At 45.2% G+C, this 20,286-nt stretch overlaps 1 protein-coding gene across 3 annotated transcripts in view; it reads left to right on the top strand.

Moving 5' to 3' along the window:
• MIS18A (MIS18 kinetochore protein A) overlaps nt 1-20,286 on the top strand; it is a 124,368-nt gene that overhangs the window by 14,704 nt on the left and 89,378 nt on the right. The window contains exons 4-5 of one of the 3 annotated variants that reach the window (XM_017028400.2): nt 17,015-17,125; nt 19,145-20,130. In XM_017028400.2, the coding sequence (XP_016883889.1) occupies nt 17,015-17,125; nt 19,145-19,214 (181 nt within the window). In that variant the 3' untranslated portion in view covers nt 19,215-20,130. Of the gene's footprint in view, nt 1-17,014; nt 20,131-20,286 lie in introns of those variants that run through there. The other 2 variants (XM_017028401.2, XR_002958619.2) reach the window with 2 other exon arrangements.

Genomic DNA, 20,286 nt, shown 5'->3' with positions numbered 1-20,286 from the left:
ATTTTTTTCCCAGTTGTAAACATTGCACAAAATCTGAAAAATAGAAAAAAGCACAAAGAAGAAAATAAAGCACATAATCTTACAATTAATAATTACTCACATTTTGAGGTATATCCTTCTAGTCATTTTTATATGCAAATTTGGGGTCATACTGGTCACACTATTTTCACTTAAAATATTTCCTAAAAATATTTCTATATAATCGAATATTATTTTATAACCTGAGTTTTAATGATCACCTAGGATGAGAACCATATTTAAAAGCTTGTTTAAATGTGATTATACAGTATGAAATTCACACTTTTTAGTGGTTTATTTAACAACTGAGTTTACTAACCAAATAAAAGACAGGGCATGAAAGAAATCTTAGACCACTCACCTCTTTGTCTAGCTCCAGTGGTGTGCAGGGGAGAGCCAATTATGAAATTTTCAGGAATTTTGTCAGCTGGTCATTAAACTGTTGGTAGCTTGAAATTGGCCATAATGGGGATATTTACACCTGAGAAATCAGAAAGTGCTTAAAAAAAAAAAAAAAAAAGAAGGCTTCCCCGACCCCAGCTGGGTTTGCAGCATATTGCTGTGTATTCCTTTTATACTGTTTGACTTAAAGTTGAAAAGAGAAAGTGACTTCTCTTTTCAACACCCAAAAGAACAAGTCCTAACATCTTTTCGTTTAGTACGTCTAAAATGAAACTCATTTTTTTTTAAAGTTAGCCATGTCTGGAAATACGATTTTATTTATTTTGGGACAAAGTCTCACTCTGTTACCTAGGCTGGAGTGCAGTGGCACGATCTGGGCTCACTGCAACCTCTGCCTCCTGGGTTCAAGCGGTTCTTGGGCCTCAGCCTCCCAAGTAGCTGGGACTACAGGCGCGTGCCACCACGCCTGGCTAATTCTTGTATTTTTATAATAGTAGAGACAGGGTTTCACCATGTTGGCCAGGCTGGTCTCAAACTCCTGGCCTCAAGTGACCCGCCCGCCTCAGCCTGCCAAAGTGCTGGGATTACAGGCGTGAGCCACTGTGTCCAGTCTCATTCTAAGACTTTAGGGATTACAGCCACATTCTCCACCTCTCCTGGAGAAAACCCAAAATACCTGAAACAAATGACTTAAAATTTTATATAAGTAGTTGATGTTATGTACATCTATTTTGCTCTCCCCAGATAGGATAAATAACTGGGCAGTTGCTTGCCAGTGAACACCCAGAGACAATTTGTTAGCAATGACTTTTGAACTAAGGGAGAATAACTTATTTTTTGATCTAATCTGACATATTTTGGGTATTGATCATTAATTTTTTTAGTGAGAGCTGAGTTCTATCTGTAGGCTAATTCACTATTTAGGCAGCTAATCACGAGGGCACGAGTGCAGTCATGGCCAGTCTATAGAGTTGTAGTTTCTTTGGGATAGTCACACCTGTTTAAATCCCAGTGATAAGCTCGAAGGTAGAGAAGGGAGGGGAGTTTGGGATGAGGAATGGATGTGCTGGGGCCTAGAGTTTTATTGGCCTAAATGTGATTTCAAATAGAACTGGCCTCATTTCATTCAAGTTGGCTCTGTGGACCTCTACTAATTAGCTTAACAAAATTAAATGAACTCTATAACTCTTTTTTTCCCTGAACAATTACCACCATGGTTTTTAGTTCTTCTCTTATCTAATTTTAAGGCAGAGATGGACAAGGTGACCCTTCAAGGGCTCTTCAACCTTCTAATTCACGTAACCCTGAAAGGAAATGAGAAATGTTGAAAGGGGGGAAGTGAGACCATGAACCAACTGTGTGGATCTGAGGAAATGGGATAATTGAGGTCTCTCCAGGATGTCGTCACTTTCACGTTTCTCTCCATTAACCGTTGTCCACCCTTACCAGGAGCTGCGGGGCTTGTCATTTTGGGGGCTTCTTGAGAACAGTAGAAATTTTGAGAAAGTAAAACGTGTGTTTGATTGCATAACATTTTCCAAACCAAAAAGAAGAGCATGTAGCCATTTTGAGGAGAAACCTTAGGAAGCCTTCCAAGGGTTTTTCTCAAAACAGGACAGCTGCTTTTTGACTGTCACAACTGCTTCCCTAGGGATGGCTTTTCTTTTCTAAGATAGCACTTAACGATCATTTAGGAGGTGCGGAGCACTGTGCTTGGGGCTCCATGTATGTTACTACCTCATTCTCACAGAACCCTCTTCCGTAGGAAGCATCATACCCATTTTACACATGCAGAAACTGAGGCTCAGAGACTTTAAATTGCCTGAAGTCCCACTTGGCTAATAAGCAGACCTAGTGCCTTCCTTCTGTGCATGGCTGCCTTCTTCCCTCACTCTGAGCTTGTTTTTTAGCAGTAAAACACATAAAGGGACATTGCGTCAGTTAATATAGTATTAGCAATCTTAGCGTCTAGAAGGGTTTAGAAATCCTGAGCTTCTCTCTTTTTCTTCTGTAGAACACAGTGAACTCAGCATGAGTTCCTTTCCCTGCAGTTGTCCCTCCCTTGAGATTCTCTGGCTACCAGATCCCCCAGCCCCTCTTCTGCCCAGAGGTACTGTCTGGCCTCTCTTTCAAGCTCTCACCTCTCCGTGTGTCTTCTTGGCTGTGTCGTGTGCCACCTCCTTTGAGTCATTTATTTTACTTTATTGCGGTTATCATTGTTGGGCATTATATTTTACATTTGTTTGTTGGTTTAATGTCTGTCCTGCCATTGGAGTGTTAGCTCCACGAGGGCAGGGATTTTATCCATCTCATGGCCTGGGCCAAAAAGAATGCAGCCCCGTAATACGTGCTCATTCCATCTTCAATGGAACAAATGAATGTTGCTGCATCGAGCATCTGTTTACTCACATCTTCATTCTCTAACCACTCTATTGATTCTTTATCTTGACCCGCAAGCATACTTACGTCTCATCTTGGTGACAAAGAGCCCTCCCGTGGCCCAGGCACCTCGCTGAACTGCTCTCTTATTTTTAACCGCACTGACTTTGCCCACTCAACACTTCAACTCTGGGCTTTTGGTCCTCCAGGCATCTTGCTGAAACTACTCTCTTGAAGGCCGCCAGTGAGTTCCTACAAAGTGTTACTGTCTGTCTGAAATCCCTAAAATTTCCAACAATTTAAAATTGTTCTCCCCTTTAACATTTTCTTCTTGATTGCCCGCATTTCTGAGCGAGGCATAATGATGTATGCAGGGGCTGGATGCCATGGGGCCTGGGGTTTGTGGTAAAATGTCGGTAAAGTAACCACACAGCAAAAGGGATAGTATGGCCCTCATCTTAATCTCTGCTGATTATTTATGAATGGGCACGGGTGGGGGTTCATTATATCTGCACTTTTGAGTGTGTATGGTTTATTTTAGGTCGTCTCACTCTGTCGCCCAGGCTGGAGTGCAGTGGTGCCATCTCGGCTCACTGCAACCTTCGCCTCTGGGTTCAAGTGATTCTCCTGCCTCAGCCTTCCAAGTAGCTGGGAGTACAAGCATATGCCACCACGCCCGGCTAATTTTTGTGTTTTTAGTAGGGATGGGGTTTCCCATGTTGGCCAGGCTGGTCTCGAACTTATGACCTCAGGTGATCCTCCTGCCTTGGCCTCCCAAAGTGCTGGGATTATAGGCATGAGCCACTGCACCTGGCCTGTGTATTGTTTGAAAATTTTTATGAAACCAAAAACAAACAAGTTTGCTTTCATCCTTGGGCATTGATGGCGTCCGACTTGCCCAGTGGCCTCCTGCCTCCTTGCTGCTGCTTTGCCGGAGTTCACCTTCCTCCTGCTTCTCCCGGGCTCTGCCTTTGCCCTCCTTTCTCTCTCTGCAGTCTCTCTTGGCTACTTCCGCCCTGCCAGGATTTCAGTGATCATTCCTGTGTCTCTAATTCCCACAGCCCTCAATTGTCTCCCCGGGTCCCTGGTCCTGAGTTTCTAATGATCTGCCGACATCCCCTGGATATGCCCTGTGTACTCTCTGTCTCACACCTGACCCTTTTGTATATATACAGTTCTTACTTGTCCTTCAAGATCTTGCTTGAGTGCCACTTCCTCCAGGAAGCCCTTGCTGATTTCTCAGTCAGATGTCATTTCTCCCACTTCATTATTCTTAAATGACTTCAGCATGGTCTGACCTTATTACTTAGATTTTGTATTCTAGTTTTGTGGGAACTGTTCCTGGAATACTAGGGTTGTGTTTTCCAGAGATCCAACATGTTGTGGGACCTTGTACACTGGAGGCAATTCATACTTTGTAGACCAGTTATGATGGTAAATGGAAAAATCTGAAAAAAAAAAAGCTGAGAAAAATGGTTCCACCAAAGTATTCAAAATTGCTTTTCATATTTCAGAATTGACATATAAGAGTAAAAAGAAAGTAACCCAAACTGCAGTGGTGCTGTGGGGCTAGCATAAAATGTTAATCAGGTAAATAGGAACTCAAAGGAAATTTACCAAATTGAGCTCATTTACATGTGTAATTACCCATCTGTGATCATTCTACTGTTCTATTTATTCTGTCTTTCTCCTCCCACACTGGGTTAAAAATACTTTGTATTAAAGATTTTCTTCATAACCAAATACAATGAATTCTTGGGATTGGGGGTGGGGTGGGGTGTGAATGCCACTCTGACACTGGAAACAAGATGCCGGAGTGGGCCTCAGTGCGCGCTGTCTGGGTGCAAGGGAGAAGCCCGGCAGATACACATTAACGCCACCTTCAGACAGGCACATCCCAAGAGGAGACTTGGAGGCAATGGCATTGAAAACCACCTGCTGCTTTCAGTGATCAAGAAAGAAACCTGTGGCTTTCATGAATGCGGAATCCATAAGACACAGTCAGATGCCGTCCTGGAATGGTTGCTTCCTGAAGTAGGAAGGTCCAGAGTAGGCTAGGAAGGTGTCAGGGAGTGGGCTGTCTCCTCACAGGATACTCTTTCTTAGGGGGAAATGATGACCTTGAGCTGAGGTAAGGAGGCCCTTGAGCTTGAAGATGCGAAAGAAAAGTGGCTCCCCAGCCTTCTCAGTGCTTGGGTGTGGGAAAGAATTGTAACCCCTGGGAGGCCAAGGCGAGGCAGAGAATGCCCTCCAGAGGCCTGCGGTCTTGGAGCGAGGAGGCCCTGACAGAGGAGACCTGGCCAACCCTTCCCTCGAGCCCCTGGCCACTCTCAGGGTGGGCATTGCCTGAGGCTTATCAGAAATGCAGACCCTGGCTGGGCACGGTGGCTCCCACCTGAAATCCTGGCACTTTGGGAGGCCGAGGCAGGAGGATCGCTTGAGTCTAGGAGTTCGAGACTGGCCTGGGCGACATAGCAAGACCAGCAAGACTCTACGAAAAAATTAAAAAGTTAGCAGTGGTAGCGTGCACTTGCAGTCCCAGCCACCCTGGAGGCTGAAGTGAGAGGACTGCTTGAGCCTGGGAGGTCGAGGCTGCAGTGAGCTGTTATCTTACCACTGCACTCCGTCCTGGGCAACAGGCCTATCTCTAAGTAAGTAAGTAAGTAAGTAAATAAATAAATAAATAAATAAATAAATAAATAAATAAATAAAATGCAGACCCTCACGCCTCATCCAGGCCCGCTGAACCAAACCTGTGCTGCTGCAACAAGATGCTAGGTGGTCCCCAGGCACGTTCAAGTGTGACACGAGCTGACTTAGGGGACAGTTCTTCCCGGCTTTCTTGAATAAAATGGTTCTTTTATATGTTGGTGCGTTTTGGTGTGATTACTAATTTTGCTGAGTACCGTAGTCATTTTTTCAGTGTCACTGTTTGACATGCTGTAAAGTAGGTTAGTATCACTCTCAGGCTGTGAGTCGGACTTTTTGTTTTGTTTCCCCAATCAGGCCACAAGGGGCCGCATTTCACCATGTAAACATTCATCGTGTCCAGCCTGTTCACAACCACAGTGGGAAACTCAGTAGCTGCAGGAGGCCCTGTCCAACAGGAAGGTTGCCTCATTGCAACCTGACTTTATCCCTTCACTCCTGTAACCAACATTCTTAATTAAAATAAAATAATAGTCAAGGCCCCCCGTCCCCGATGCAGCCCCCATCAGACTGCTAACAGCTTTTTCGGTATTCGTCCCTAAAATTGCTTACATCTACACTTGCACAGGATTTTCCCCAAGGCACTAGCATTCTACACTGGAAGTTAATTATGTTTTCTCTTTCAGTCGTTTTCTGTTTTCATGACTCAGATTTGTTACTAAATCCCCTCCCCCAATGCTTTCTGAGTCCTTAATGCTGTGTTTGCCAGCTCAGTTTGGAGTTGCCGGCTGAGAGGTGGCAGTCTTCCGGAATAAGGACATTTCTGATCACCTTGCTAATGTGTCTGACTCACACGAGACTTGGCAGGAACCCTCTATCTGTATTAATGCTATAGATTCCTTTGGAAAGATTAAGGAACAGTGCTATCTTGTTATGGGTCAAGACATCCAAAGCACATTATTTAGACGACAACATTGTCCAAAGCTTTAAAGTGAACTCAGGCAACTACATTTTATGCCAGACTTCCATTTGCTGAAACAGATTAAAAAAATACTCGTGCATTAAGTGATTATGCAGAGGCAAAGTGGTAGTTCTGTGAGGTTCCAGCACACTGGGAGTCCTGGAGCCTTGGGGTGTGTGTCCTACGGAGCCTCCAACAACTGGAGCAATTTCACATCCCTGGCGTCCATCTCCCAGGCTAGGTTTCCTCATCTGTAGAAAGAAGGGGTTGGATTAGGATGCTCCGTAGGTTTCCTTTTAAAAGTAATCTAAAAAAGCAATCAGAAATGTTTTGTTATTTTAATTAGGTATTGATTTGAAATGGAAACCTCGATTGATAGCTGATAGAGGCTCATCTAAGGCATTTGTAATCTGATGGACATAGACAATATTCTGCCCATTAGAGAACCAAGACCACAAAAGAAGCTTAGAATAGAAGAGCCGCCCACATTTGCTGCTGCTGTGTAATGAACAGTTGTAGGTGGCACCAGGTGCATGTCTTGAAGAAATTCTTGAATCAGCTCATGGAATTCTGAACTGGATTAAAACATGGGCACGTGAACATTTTATTTAACAGCATCTCTGGCTGCCAACATTTCACCAAGAATCTTCATTATTAAAGTGCACTGGTTATTCCTTTTGCCATCATTTGAGTTACTCTCTGTGAAGAAGACAGATGTCTTGCTATAGTCATTTCACTTGCTCAAGTTCCCCTGTCCTCTCTCCTCAATCGCTATGTCCCCCTTAGCGAAGCCATAACCAGTCGAAACTTAAGTGAGTCAGCTTTGGATGTCAGCCATAGAGCAGGCGAGCCAAGTCCCGTGATGCCAGCCCCTGGACAGAGTTTCCAAGGCAACAACTGCTGTGTTTCTCTCCACTCTGAAGGAAAACCTGGGAGAATCCAGTCCTGATGTGGCTGTTAAGGGAGCCAGGGTGGGGGAAAACAATCTGTGAATGAGCAGACTTTCGTTCTAGCCTGTTTTTTTTTCCTCTGTAAGAATGAGTCTTATTCACATGCATTTTTCTGTAGCTCTGAAATGAGGATTTGAATTGAACTGTTTGAGATGGGTGGTTAAAAGAAAATATACACAGATCATCAGTCTGAGAAGCACTAGATGATCATGCAGATTAAGAAGTAATAAAGTCAGAATTCTCACAGGAACAAGAGATCATTTTTGTCACTGAGTACAAGAAAGATTAGCATGAGCCAAGACACAGAGGCCGAAAAAGGGGCAAGGGACAGTCCCCACTGAGAACAGCTTCCATCTTCAATGTTTTTCTCATCATTAGTAGGACTATAAAAATTATTGTCCAAATCAGGGCACATTCGCGAAACAGGGAATGTCTAATAATTAAGTCGGGATGACAGATGTCAATTGTCCCGGGAAAACCAGCACACGTGTCACCGTACTTTTTATGCCTCCCGGTAGAGAGCCATTGAACAAAGGTGGCCTTAGCTACCGGAGTGTGACAGCCACGAGGCTCAAGTGAGAGAGGAGGATGCCAAGTCATCCGATGAAACTGAGTCGGGTGGGAATGGAATAGAGAAATGAAAGAAATGTGGACAGGTTTGAACAGCAGCTCAGGGAAATTTGATGATAGATCAAGCAGAAATAGATTAAAAAGACTTCGAGGCAGTGGTACTCTCTGAGGGAGCACAATTTGGGGTGGCCCAGTCAATGGTTTTGTGATTTTGTCCAGTAAAGAGTAGAGTAATTCTCTTTAGGTTTGAGCAGCAATACACGAGGTTTCTGGGGAGAACAATCCCAACATAGTAGACATCAAAAAAATGTTTAATAATGAATCTTCTGTTTCCTGAAGAAATTCGCTAAAAGTAGACATCAGTAAGCTTGTGAAACACATTTATGGTTATCCTCAAAGAAGTCAACTGAGTTTACCATCCATAGCCAGTTAGGGATGAGATAAAATAGATGGAAATGGCTGAACTTTTACACTATTAAATGTACTTACCCCAGGCGTAAACACGTTTGTTCTTTTTTTTTTTTTTGGGACAGAGTCTCGCTCTGTCACCCAGGCTGGAGTGCGGTGGCACGTTCTTGGCTCTCTGCAAGCTCTGCGTCCCAGGTTTACTCCATTCTCCTGCCTCAACCTCCCGAGTAGCTAGCACTACAGGCGCACACCGCCACGCCTGGCTAATTTTTTCTGTATTTTTAGTAGAGATGGGGTTTCACCGTGTTAGCCAGGATGGTCTCGATCTACTGACCTCGTGATCCACCCTCCTCGGCCTCCCAAAGTGCTGGGATTACAGGCGTGAGCCACCGCGCCTGGCCAAGCACACATTTATTCTTTAACTAGATGGGTCTTCCTGCTGAAATAACTTTGAAACTTCAAAAAGTACCCAAGAATGCCAAGCGCGGTGGCTCACGCCCGTAATCCCAGGACTTTGGGAGGCCGAGGTGGGCAAATCACTTGAGGTCAGCAGTTCAAGACCAGCCTGGGCAACATGGGGAAACCGCATCTCTACTAAAAAAATACAAAAATTAGCCGGGCATTGTGGCACACACCTGTAATCCGAGCTACTCAGGACGCTGAGGCAGGAGAATCACTTGAACCCGGAAGGCGGAGGTTGCAGTGAGCCAAGATTACATCACCGCACTCTACCCTGAGCAATAGAGCAAGACTCCGTCTCAAGAAAAAAAAAAAGTACCCAAGAAATGTATTTTTACCGTAGAAAAATTAGAAGATTCTACAGAAAACTGAAATGAAGACAGTAAAAGTATCTACAATCCAAGTATCTCCATAAGTAACCACTATTAATATCTTAGGGTATATCCTTCCACATGATTTCCTATGCATTTTATTTATACATATAATTATAAAAAGGACAGCTTGCTGTGCATATTCTATATTACTATATTATGAATAGTTTGATATATCACCAAATATACTTTTGCAACTTTGTTTCAATGACTGCATAATATTTCACAATATTGAATAGTTCACTTAACCAAACTCTCGGCGTTATGTACTAGGCTGTTTCTAGACTTTTTTGTACTACAAACAATGTAGTTTTGAACATCTAGTGAAATCTTTGTGCCATATAATGAATGAATCTGGATTGTGTGAATTTGGTGGGAGAACTGAGGCTGTTAAATCTGGGCCCGGATTAAGATGTGGAATGAACATACAATGAGAATAAAAGAGGAGACGGATTCTAGGTCCGGCCCAGCATAGAACCCTAAGCATGTTACTTAACCTCCCTCTGGTTAGTTTTCTTATTTATAACAACATGACAAAAGTTAGACATAATTAATGAAATCTTGAACTGGTTTACTGAAAGGATTAGATATGGTAAAGGTGTGAAAAACCATTTAAAGTTATAAAGCAGTTTACTTTTTTTTTTTTTGAGACCGAGTTTCACTCTTCTTGTCCAGGCTGGAGTGCAATGACGCAATCTTGGCTCACTGCAACCTCCACCTCCCGGGTTCAAGTGATTCTCCTGCCTCAGCTTCCCAAGTAACTGGGATTACAGGTGCCTGCCACCACACCTGGCTAATTTCTTTTTGTATTTTTAGAGACAGGGTTGGCCAGGCTAGTCTTGAACTCCTGACCTCAGGTGATCCACCTGCCTCTGCCTCCCAAAGTGCTGGGATTACAGGCGTGAGCCACCACGCCTGGCCAAAGCAATTTACTTTTTCTGGGGTCGGGGGTTGGAGTCTCACTCTGTCGCCCAGGCTGGAGTGCAGTGGCATGATCTTGGCTCACTGCAACCTCCGCCTCCCAGGTTCAAGTGAGTCTCCTGCCTCAGCCTCCCAAGTAACTGGGACTACAGGCACACACCACCACACTCGGCTATTGTATTTTTAGTAGAGACAGGGTTTCACCATATTGGACAGGCTGGTCTCGAACTCCTGACCTTGTGATCCACCCACCTTGGTCTCCCAAAGTGCTGGAATTACAGGCGTGAGCCACCGCCCAGCCAGCAATTTACTTCTATAGGGATTTATGATTTTTTTTTCAAAATGCTGTTTAAAAAAAACTCTATTAAATCAACTAAAACTATTTCCAATTTTTTGACTTTCTCCAGGAATACAAATTTTTATGAACCAATTGAATGTTGAGTAATTTGGAAGCTGTGGTGCTTGAATGGGTGCTTTTGGGGAGAAGCTTCTAGGAGCGTTTTGGGCTAATCAGATAGCAGCCTGCCTTCTGAATTATGACAACCCAAAGGCAGAGGGAGCAAAGGCTTTGCAAAGGGTCCCACTTGGTGGAGGGGGAAGTAACCCTTGCTGTGTGATTGCAGTGGGGGCAGGTCGCTCACTCTCCCGCTCCCCTCCCTGGGGCTCCCATCAGCCAGGAGTCTGCTAAAGCCTGCTCTGAAAATGGAGTGATCTGGGCATGATGCTGTCCAGCCCCAGAGACAGAGGCCAGCTTGCTGTCAGAGATAAAAATGGCTGTTGAAAGTGGAGTCAGAACAAAAATATGTTAATAATGAATTCTGGGAATTTCAGCCACCCTTGGGAGCAGGCCTAATGGGGGGTGGGGGGAGGGCGATTAGGTAACATGAATGGAAAGCTTGCAGGCCAAATGAGCTCCAAAGGGACAATCCTCAGCTGGAAACTGCGCATGCCCGCTGTGTACCTGTCACTCACCAATAGGATGCAGAAGCATTGGGAGAAATGCCTCTGACCACACGCAAAGCGGCATAGAGCCTTCCTTCCCTCCCCTGCTCATCTGCAGGCCATCAGTGCACAACTCTGATGCTGGGGGTCGTGCGGGGGGGCACCATCTGCATGGTGTTCTATGGAGTGGCCCCCTAAAGCGCATCCCACCCTTCCGTCCTCGCCCAGGTGGAGAAGTCCCGAGCACAGCTCCCCTAAAGCACATCCCATCCCTCCATCCTTTCCTAGCTGGAGAGGTCCCAAGGGCAGCTCCTTCCTTAGTTCTCTAAGCCTAGGAGGGATCTGGGCATAGAGTAGATGCTCACTGTGCACTCACCAAATGGACGAGTGAGTAGCATCAGACCCCGAAGTGGGAGATCTCTGCACCACCTGTCTGCCAACGATGCAGAAATTTCACAGTCATTCTCTGGGATCCCTAAACAAAATCGTTTGTATTCTCACCCATGAAGGAAGAAATCTTGGGTTAGAAAAAAACAGATACATCTAAATTTATAAAGACAACACTTGAGTTTTCTGAAAGGCACATTGTAAAGCTGACATATATTTCTTTCCTGGTCAGGCCCCCAAACTTGAACTCAGTGTGGTAGGGGGTCAACTTAGTTAAGTGAGGGAGAAAGGAAGGGATACTTCTGACAGCGGGTATGCTGGAGCCTAGGGGATGAGAGTACACTCATTCTTCAGAAGCAGAGATGAATAAATACTACATTAAAAAATATATTTTTGCTTTGCTGTAGATATCTCCCTTGCAGTTATCCAATGCTGATCAAGTAAATGTACTAATACATACATGTCTTCTTCTTTTTCCTCCTCCTCTCCCCTTCCTCCTCCTCCTCTTCCTTCTTCTTCTTCTTTTCTTCTCCTTCTTTCTTCTCTCTTCCTCTCCCCTCCCTCCCTGCCTGCCTGCCTGCCTTCATTCATTCTTTCCTTCCTTCCTTCTTTCCTTACTCTTTCTTTTCCTCCTCCTCTTCTCTCTTCCTCCTCCTCCTCCTCCTCCTCCTCCTCCTCCTCCTCCTCCTTCTTCTTCTTCTTCTTCTTCTTCTTCTTCTTCTTCTCCTCCTCTTCCTTTTTTTGAGACAGGATCTCACTTTGTTGCCCAGACTGGAGTGCAGTGGTGTAATCTTAGTTCACTGCAGTGTCAAACTTGTGGGCTCAAGTGATCCTTTGGCCTCACCCTTCTGAGTAGCTGGGACTACAGGCACATGCCACTATGCCCAGATAATTTTTCATTTTCTTTTTGTAGAGACAGGGTCTTGCTATGTTGCCTAGGCTGGAAATTTTCTAAAACTATACTGATGAAAATCTGGAAGAAGAGGAGTGCTGCTTGTAAGATGGACTTTTAGTTGCTACTACAGTCCAAAGAGAGGACTGTAGCATCTGATCAATATGAGAGACAGAATTATATTATGGACCATAAACACAAGTGCATAAATGTTTCTGAGAGACATTACCCTGTGCTCTTAGACAGTCTCCCACCTTCGGTAATTAGAGCCTGGCAAAAGACATTAGTTTGGAGTAAATATCTAACTTTTTGGTTGCCTTCAAATATGAAGTTTGTATTTTTGTTTGGTGATTCATCTTTTCATTGTTGACAAATCATAGAGGGAGGGACATATTTTATTTGGGTTCATTCTCTTAAATGACAAGTTCAAGAAGAGATATGCACAAGTTCTCTTTGGGGGCTGACAGGGTTAAAGGTCACACCCCTATCTGAGCTTCCTAGACGCTGGCATGGGGTGCTTGGGTGGTGGGGGAGGGATACATGATAGTTTCTTAAGAGAAGGAGTGGTTAGCGATTTAAGGATTTGGGGTTAGCCAACCTGAAGAGGGAGAGTGTGGGAGAAAGGAAGAGATAATCAGAGATAGAGAGCTGGGAGGTGGGAGAGGGAAGGAGAGAGAGAAAAGGAAAGAGAGAGAGAGAGACTGGGTATTGAATTGGTACATTTAAGAGCCACAAAAATCCTCCCAAAATACTGTTTTCTCAAGGCTGCTTTCATGCAGGTGAGAGAAAGAATCACTGAGATTTTTGTGTTACCTGTTGTATTAGTCTGTTCACATGCTGCTATAAAGAACTGCCCAAGACTGGGTAAATTATAGAGGAAAAAGGTTTAATTGACTCGTAGTTCTTCAGGGCTGGGGAGGCCTCAGGAAACTTAGAATCATGGCAGAAGGGGAAGCAAACAGGTCCTTCTTCACATGGTGGCAGGAAGGAGAAGAATGAGAGCCAAGCAAAAGGGGAAGCCCATTATAAAACCATCAGATCTCATGAGAACTCACTCTATTATGAGAATAGCATGGAGGTAACCATCCCCATGATTCAATTGCCTCCCACTGGATCCCTTCCGCCACATGTAGGGATTATGGGAACTACAATTCAAGTGAGGTTTGGGTGGGGGCACAGCCAAACCATATCACCTGTTAAGAGACAGCCTTCAAGAAATCTGTTTAAAAGCCCTCCTTCCCCTCTGCCACATCCAGGGCTCACGATTCTATTGGGCTTTCTCATGCTGGGAAATAGGTGAGAGGAGGGATGGGTGCTGTCCAAGGGTTTTGCCAGAGTGGCCTGGCCAAGGGCGTCTAGATGGCTACACAGAAATGAGATTTTACACACATCTGTCCAATCCACCTATGAGAAGCAAGGCTCCTTCTGGAAGGTCTGAGAGTTCCTCAGGACAGCCTAGGGAGTCAGAGCTGGAGAAGAAAGTGGAGGCAGCTGCCCCATAAGCTGTAGGGGACAGCCAGTATTCAAGCCCTTTGGGAACTGAGAAACAACCTGGGGATGGGAGAGGGATGTGAGGTCCCATAGTCACGTGGATTGGGGCTCAGAGTCCTGGCAATCTGATCATGAGTGTGAGGGTGACCTTGCTGGGATCCCAGCTGCTCAAAAGGGAAAATGGAAATTGCTGATTACATCTACATATCTATAAAGATAACTGATTATCTTTAGGGTTTTATTTTTTAATTGGGACAGGGAGAGTTGGTTAGTATAGAATTTCTGTATTATTTAAAATCTCTTTTAGAAGTGCGTCTTTTATAATTAGGAAAAATCTAATATCAAGATTTCCAATTTGGAAAAAAAAAGGGGCAAGAATCAGGGTTGAACTAGGTTCAGATGTTGGGGGCTGGTGACACCCACACTGCTGGCTGGCTCGTGGGCTGGGCATAGTGCCACGGGAAGGAAAGTCGAGTCCCAGCTTAGGAGATAGCACTTCTGTTTCTGGCTGCTCCTTTCTCTCAGGAGGCAGCTGTGTCCTAAGCCTCGGTTTTCTCCTCTGTGAAATGGGAGTGCCAAGAATTCCTCCCTCACAGAGTGGTTGAGAGGCTTCCATGAAAACACCCTGATATATTTTGGATGTTTGTCCCCTGCAAAGCTCATGTTGCTATGTGACCCCCGATGTTGGAAGTGGGGGCTGGGGGAGGTGTTTAGGCCATGGGGGCGGATCCCTCATGAATGACTCGGTGCCCTCCCCATGATACTGAGTTTTCAGCTCTATTAGTTCACTGGAGAGCTGGTTGTTTAAAAGAGCTCCCTCTCGCCCTTCCTCCCCTTCCCCTATGTGTGGAAGCTTCCTGAGGTTCTGACCGGAAGCAGATGCCGGTGCCACGTCTCTTTTCTTTATGTGTTACTCAGCCTCGAGTATTCCTTTATAGCAACACAAAATGGACTAACACAGCCCCATAAAAATTACTTTGTAAATTGCCACGTAAACGTCAGTGGCTCTAATTCTGGAATATAATTTTGGTGTGTTTTTTCCCCTGCTGAGGCTGGAATCCATGGCTCCTCCCAGAAGTCTTCATGGTTAATTATGGCTATGTATAATAGAAACACAAACAGTGTGGATGAGTGCCTGCGCGGCATGCTCACTGCACCTGTGCTGTCTTTCCCCGCCCGGGCAGCCTGTTAGAGGGTGGAAGACAAGGAGGCACAGGCTGCATGTCTCGACTGAGGGCCCCGCATGGAGGGTTTCATGGTGGGGAAAAGCACCCCCACACTCACTCCTCTAGTCTGTAAAATGTCAGAGAATAACGCATTGCTCTCTCATTGCTCTGTGATGCTGCACTAAGAGGCCAGGGCCCCCTCCCGAGCTTGAAGCATCCACGTTGAAATACAAGATGGCAGGGCCAGATCAACCATCTTTCTCTGCCAGGGAGCCTCAGAGTCTCGATCAGCCTGGGAAGTTTAATGACAGCTATGCAAGTGCTCTTAGGTTTATTTTGGGGCCTTTCCAAAGCAACAGGGGAAAAGTAATTTCATTTTTATAAAGAAGAGAAAAATACCCTGAAAGCCCTTGCCAGTGGAGCCCTTTCTTCATTTTTCTCCCCAGCTACTTGCTTCCTGCAAAGCCCTAAGCCTTGAAAAAAAGGCAAGTTTACTGTTCCTAACAAAGGGTGGTTTATGTCCTTTTGCTACAAGACAAAAGGGGGAGGGAAGGAAGTTCAGATCTTTCTTTCTGGAGACTATGAAGTTCCGCTGGGGAAGTAGCTGCCCTGGTCTGCAGGTTAAATAAACATGGAACAGATGGGAAGAGTTAGAGGGAATTTGTGAATTCAATGAGACCAGACTATCTTGGTGTTACTGAGTGAAGCAAGGGTTCCACTGAAAGCCTGGGTTAAGCTCTCTGGCCTCATTAGGTCTGAATAGAGAAGGGTAGCGAGACGAATGAATTCCCGACACTGGTTTTGTTTACCTGTGGCTCCGACTGTGTGAACAGGCAGCGTATTTATCTATGTTTTAGTCTAAAGATGGAACATATGCCTGTGGGCTCTATTCCATTTAACAAGCTTTTATTGAGCACCTACCATATGTCTGACTCCTAGCTGAGCGCTCAGGGGGATAAGGAAGAAGTGTAGCATCCAGGACAGTGTGGAGAGAGGAAGAAGCTTGAGTGCAGATCCCTATAGTTCTACCATTTTGTGACCTTGGACTGGCTGCTTAATATCCTTGAATCTCAGTTCCTTGGTCTGTAAGATGGGGCAGTAATATCTCAGGGAGAAATTACACTGTATGAGGTGACACATGTCAATGTCACGGCTAAAGTCTTTTGGGTTGCAAGTAACAAAACCCACTTCAAACATAACCAAGAAAGGGAATTTCTTGGAAGGGTGTTGGGGTCTCTCCTGGATTTTACCAGGAAGTGTAGCCTGGGAGCCACAGGGAGGACAGAGAAGACCAGAGCCGTTCTGGGGCTCTCAGCAGCAAGGAGGGGGTATCTTCACCCCAAAGTCTCCACTAACAAAGCTCTTCCATGCAGCGATCTCTGTGCCACTCTCAGTTCCAGCTCTTCACATAGAGTCTGTTTGGTTCAGTTGGCTCTGGCCAGAGGGGCAGGCTCCCAGCCTGGAAGCCTGAGTAGGATGGGGACTGGGTGCCTATATGAATCTTCCGGGCTGCCCCAACAAGATACCACAGATTGAGGGGCTGAAACAACTGGGCTTTGTTTAGACACAGCCGTGTAGCTTGGAAGTCCAAGATCGAGGTGCGGGCAGAGTTGGTTTCTTCTGAGGCCTCTCTCCTTGGCTTGCGGGTGGCCACTTTCTCCCTGTGTCTTCACACATTTTTCCTCCATGTATGGGTCTATGTCCTAATCTCCTCTTTTTATGAGGACTGTGGTCAGATTAAGGCCTACCCTAACGGCCTCATTTTAACTTAATTACCTCTTTCATAACCCTACATCCGAATATGGTTACCTCAGGAGATCCAGGGGTTAGGACTTTAACATATGAATTTTTTGTGGCCCACAATTCAGCCCAAAACAATGTCCTCCAACTGACAGGCTTGTTAGGAAGACATTCCCAAAGGGGTCCACTCTAGCCATGTCACTAGCCTTGCAACAGGAACATGGCAGGCTCTCTTCAAATTTTGGTACTCTTTTCTTCTCTCTGCAAAGCACTAGCTCTCTGCCACTAAGGAACTCCTTTTCCCCAAGGGAGATGATGCCTGGAGCTGTGAAACAAATCCTGAGCCACGGGATGAGTGTAGACTTGAGACTCCAGAGTTTGGGATCCTGGTCCAGATCATGCCACTGCTTACCAAGTAGGTAAGAGATGTCATCGTTTGGGTCAGTTTCTCATGGATGAAATGGGGTGGGTAGGTAGAGGCAAGTGGGCCCAATGATCCCATGATTCAGTGATTCTAAATCTTGCCTTGGTTAAGGACAGAGCGCCAAAGTGAAGGGTAAATAATTGGTGTTGACGAGAGTTGCTGGGAAAGCCTTCATGCTTGCTCAAAATGGAGTGTTTCCCATAATCTGCGTTTGGGTTGGAGCCAGTCATCATCTATGACTGACTGAATTTTTTTTGGTCAGAAGCAACTCGTCTCTTTTTCTTCTGACAATAAAATAAAATAAAGTTCCGCCCTTCAGAGCCAAAGCAGCACATATTTTGGAGAGAAGTCTCAGAGAAAAGCCGTTTCTGTTCATTTCCCTCCATCATCAGCTTGTCTGCCCCAGCTCCCGCTCTGGCAGACACTGCTGGGGGCTTGGCAGAGCTGGGATTGCTGCTCTTGAGATTCTGAAGGCCAGTGACTGAAAGAGAAGGCGCTGGAAAGGGTCTGTCAGGACTCCAGTGACAAAGTGAAGGATTTAGGACAAGAGTCGGATAAGATAAAGAGAAGGAAGATGCCCTCAACTCTGAGTTCTGGAATGAAAATTTCTCAGGGAGTTCCCACAAGGACACTGTGTCCTCAGTTTCCTGGGTGCTTGGATGAATCTTGGGGCTTTTCCTTTACACATGGAACCTCTTCTTGAGATTTGAGGGGCTCCATAAATCATACCCTCTCCCCCCTGCCAGACTCCTAAACCAAGACAAAAGGAGAGGAGAATGTGCCTCGGAGGCACAGTAGTGGGTTTCCTAACAGAAACCAGAGACTCAGAGGCCAGGGAAGAAGGGGCGTACCGAAGGGCGTGTGCAGTCCCAGGTCTACACCTGGCTGGTTCTGAAAGACAAGCAGGAGCAGCAGCTGAGCTCTGCTGGCCCAGCTTCTCTTTCCAGCAAATGAGGGGTGGTGGTAGAGTTTGTACACATGTCTCTGCCCAAATCTCTTGTTGAAATGTAATCCCTAGTGTTGGAGGTAGAGCCTGGCGGGAGGTGATTTGATGATGGGGCGGATTTCTCATGAATAGTTTGGCACCATCCCCTCGATACTGTCCTCACCAGAGCGAGTCCGTTTGTGAGATCTGCTTGTTTAAAAGGGTGTAGCACCTACCCCTCCATCTCTTGCTCCTGCTCTGGGCCTGTGCCTGCTTCCCCTTTGCCTTCTAACATGATTCTGAGCTTCCTGAGGCCACTCCAGAAGCCGAGCAGATGCCAGCATCACGTTTCCTGTACAGCCTGCAGAACCGTGAGCCAATTAAACCTCTTTTCTTTACAAATTACCCAGTCTCAGGTATTTCTTTATAACAATGCAAGAATGGCCTAACACAGGTGTCCAGGGGCAGAGGGAGGCTGAGTGTCAGGTGAATGGATGTCCTGACTCATAGAAGGAAAGATCAGGAATAGGAAGAAAAGCTTTCCCACAAAACTGCCACTTACCCCAGAACAACTCACCCAGCATAGTCAGGTGTTAGGTCTTTACTGAAGGTTTGGAAGGACAGAGGGTGGGCTCACACTGCTTGACACTGATGGCTTAACCTTGAGTATTAGCCATTGGCCTCCTTGTCTTGGAAGTCCTTTGGCCCTGCCACCAAGAACTGTTCCCTGGCTGCCTCCTTCCCAGCTGCAGCTTCCTCTGGTGTTGCTAGAGCCTTCCCTCCTGGAAGGTGCTTCTCCTGAATTCCTCTTATAATGCAGAGAATTTTGACTCTTCGTCCCTCTGTTGGACATCTAAGTAACATTAAAGGGCTCAGCTTCACACACGATCACATATCTATTTCGGCATCTTGGAAGAGCGAGCAGGGATGTTGACATTTCAGGGTTTCCATTCTCTCTGCTTTATCTGTGTAGGCGGAAGGGAACACTTCAGGTATTTATCTTCCCAGTGCGATGACTGATGCCCGCTAGAAGGCAGAAGTGACACCATCAGTTTGGGTGTTCAGGAGCATTCTTTTAATTTATTGTAGGGTCCTGCCTACCATAATCCAGGAGGTGGTCTTCCAGACATTAAATAGGATCATGAAATCAATGGCGTGAGCCTTCACAAGTAAGTCAATGATCAATTAATCAATTAAGGTTTTATTGTTGAGAACGATGTGCATTATGGAACTAACAATTCTTTTTCCAAATGAAATCCAGATTTCAACTCCATTTATTGAATTGTGAACAGTCCATTTTTTCCTGCAAATTTAAATTGCTGCCTAAAGTGTTTACTGAATATGTACATTGCTCTGTTTTTGGACTTTATTTTATGTCAAGAGATCCATTTGTCTATTGCTGTACCAGGAGCATACTTTTAAAATATGGTTGCTTTATAGTTACCATATTTTGATATCTTCTATATAAAATCCTTCCATCTTTGTGCCTTTTCCAAAAAACTCTTGGCTTAATGTATGGATTTTTACTTCCCATTGGTTGGTTGGTTGGTTGGTTTCTGAGACAGGATCTCTGTTGCCCAGACTCAAGTGCAGTGGCTCAATCATAGCTCACTGCAGCCTCAACCTCCCAGGCTCAAGCAGTCCTCCCACCTCAGCCTCCCAAGTAGCTGGGATTACAGGCATGCACCCCCACACCTGGCTACTTTTTTGATTTTTTGTAAAGATGAGGTTTCACTATGTTGCCCAGGCAGATCTCAACTTCCCGGACTCAAGTGATCCTCCCACCTTGGCCTCCCAAAATGTTGTGATTACAAGCATGAGCCACCATGCCTGGCCCCCACTGATTTAGTAAAAGTCAGCTTTTTGTGGCATATTTTACAAAGGATCAAATTAGTAAAAAATGAAATGTACAATTTGATGAGTTTGACACATATACACCCTCATGTAACCACCTCACAATTATAATGTAGCATATTTACAGCACCTAAAAAAAAAAAATTCCCGTGTGCCCTTTTGGAGTCAATTTCCTCCCCAGCCCTGGCCCCGCGCAATCCACTGTGCTTTCTTCTGTCGCTATGGTTTTTCCTTTTCTAGAATATTATATGAAGGAAATCATACTGTATGTAGTCTTTTGTGTCTGACTTTCCTTCACTTAGCAGAATGCTTTTCAGATCATCCATGTTATTGCAGGAATCACTAGGTCGTACCTTTTTATTGCTGCTGGTTATCCA

The sequence above is a fragment of the Homo sapiens genome, chromosome 21 (assembly GCF_000001405.40).
Source record: "Homo sapiens chromosome 21, GRCh38.p14 Primary Assembly".
Classification (NCBI taxonomy): domain Eukaryota; kingdom Metazoa; phylum Chordata; class Mammalia; order Primates; family Hominidae; genus Homo; species Homo sapiens.
This window is presented reverse-complemented; position numbering and strand designations above follow the sequence as displayed.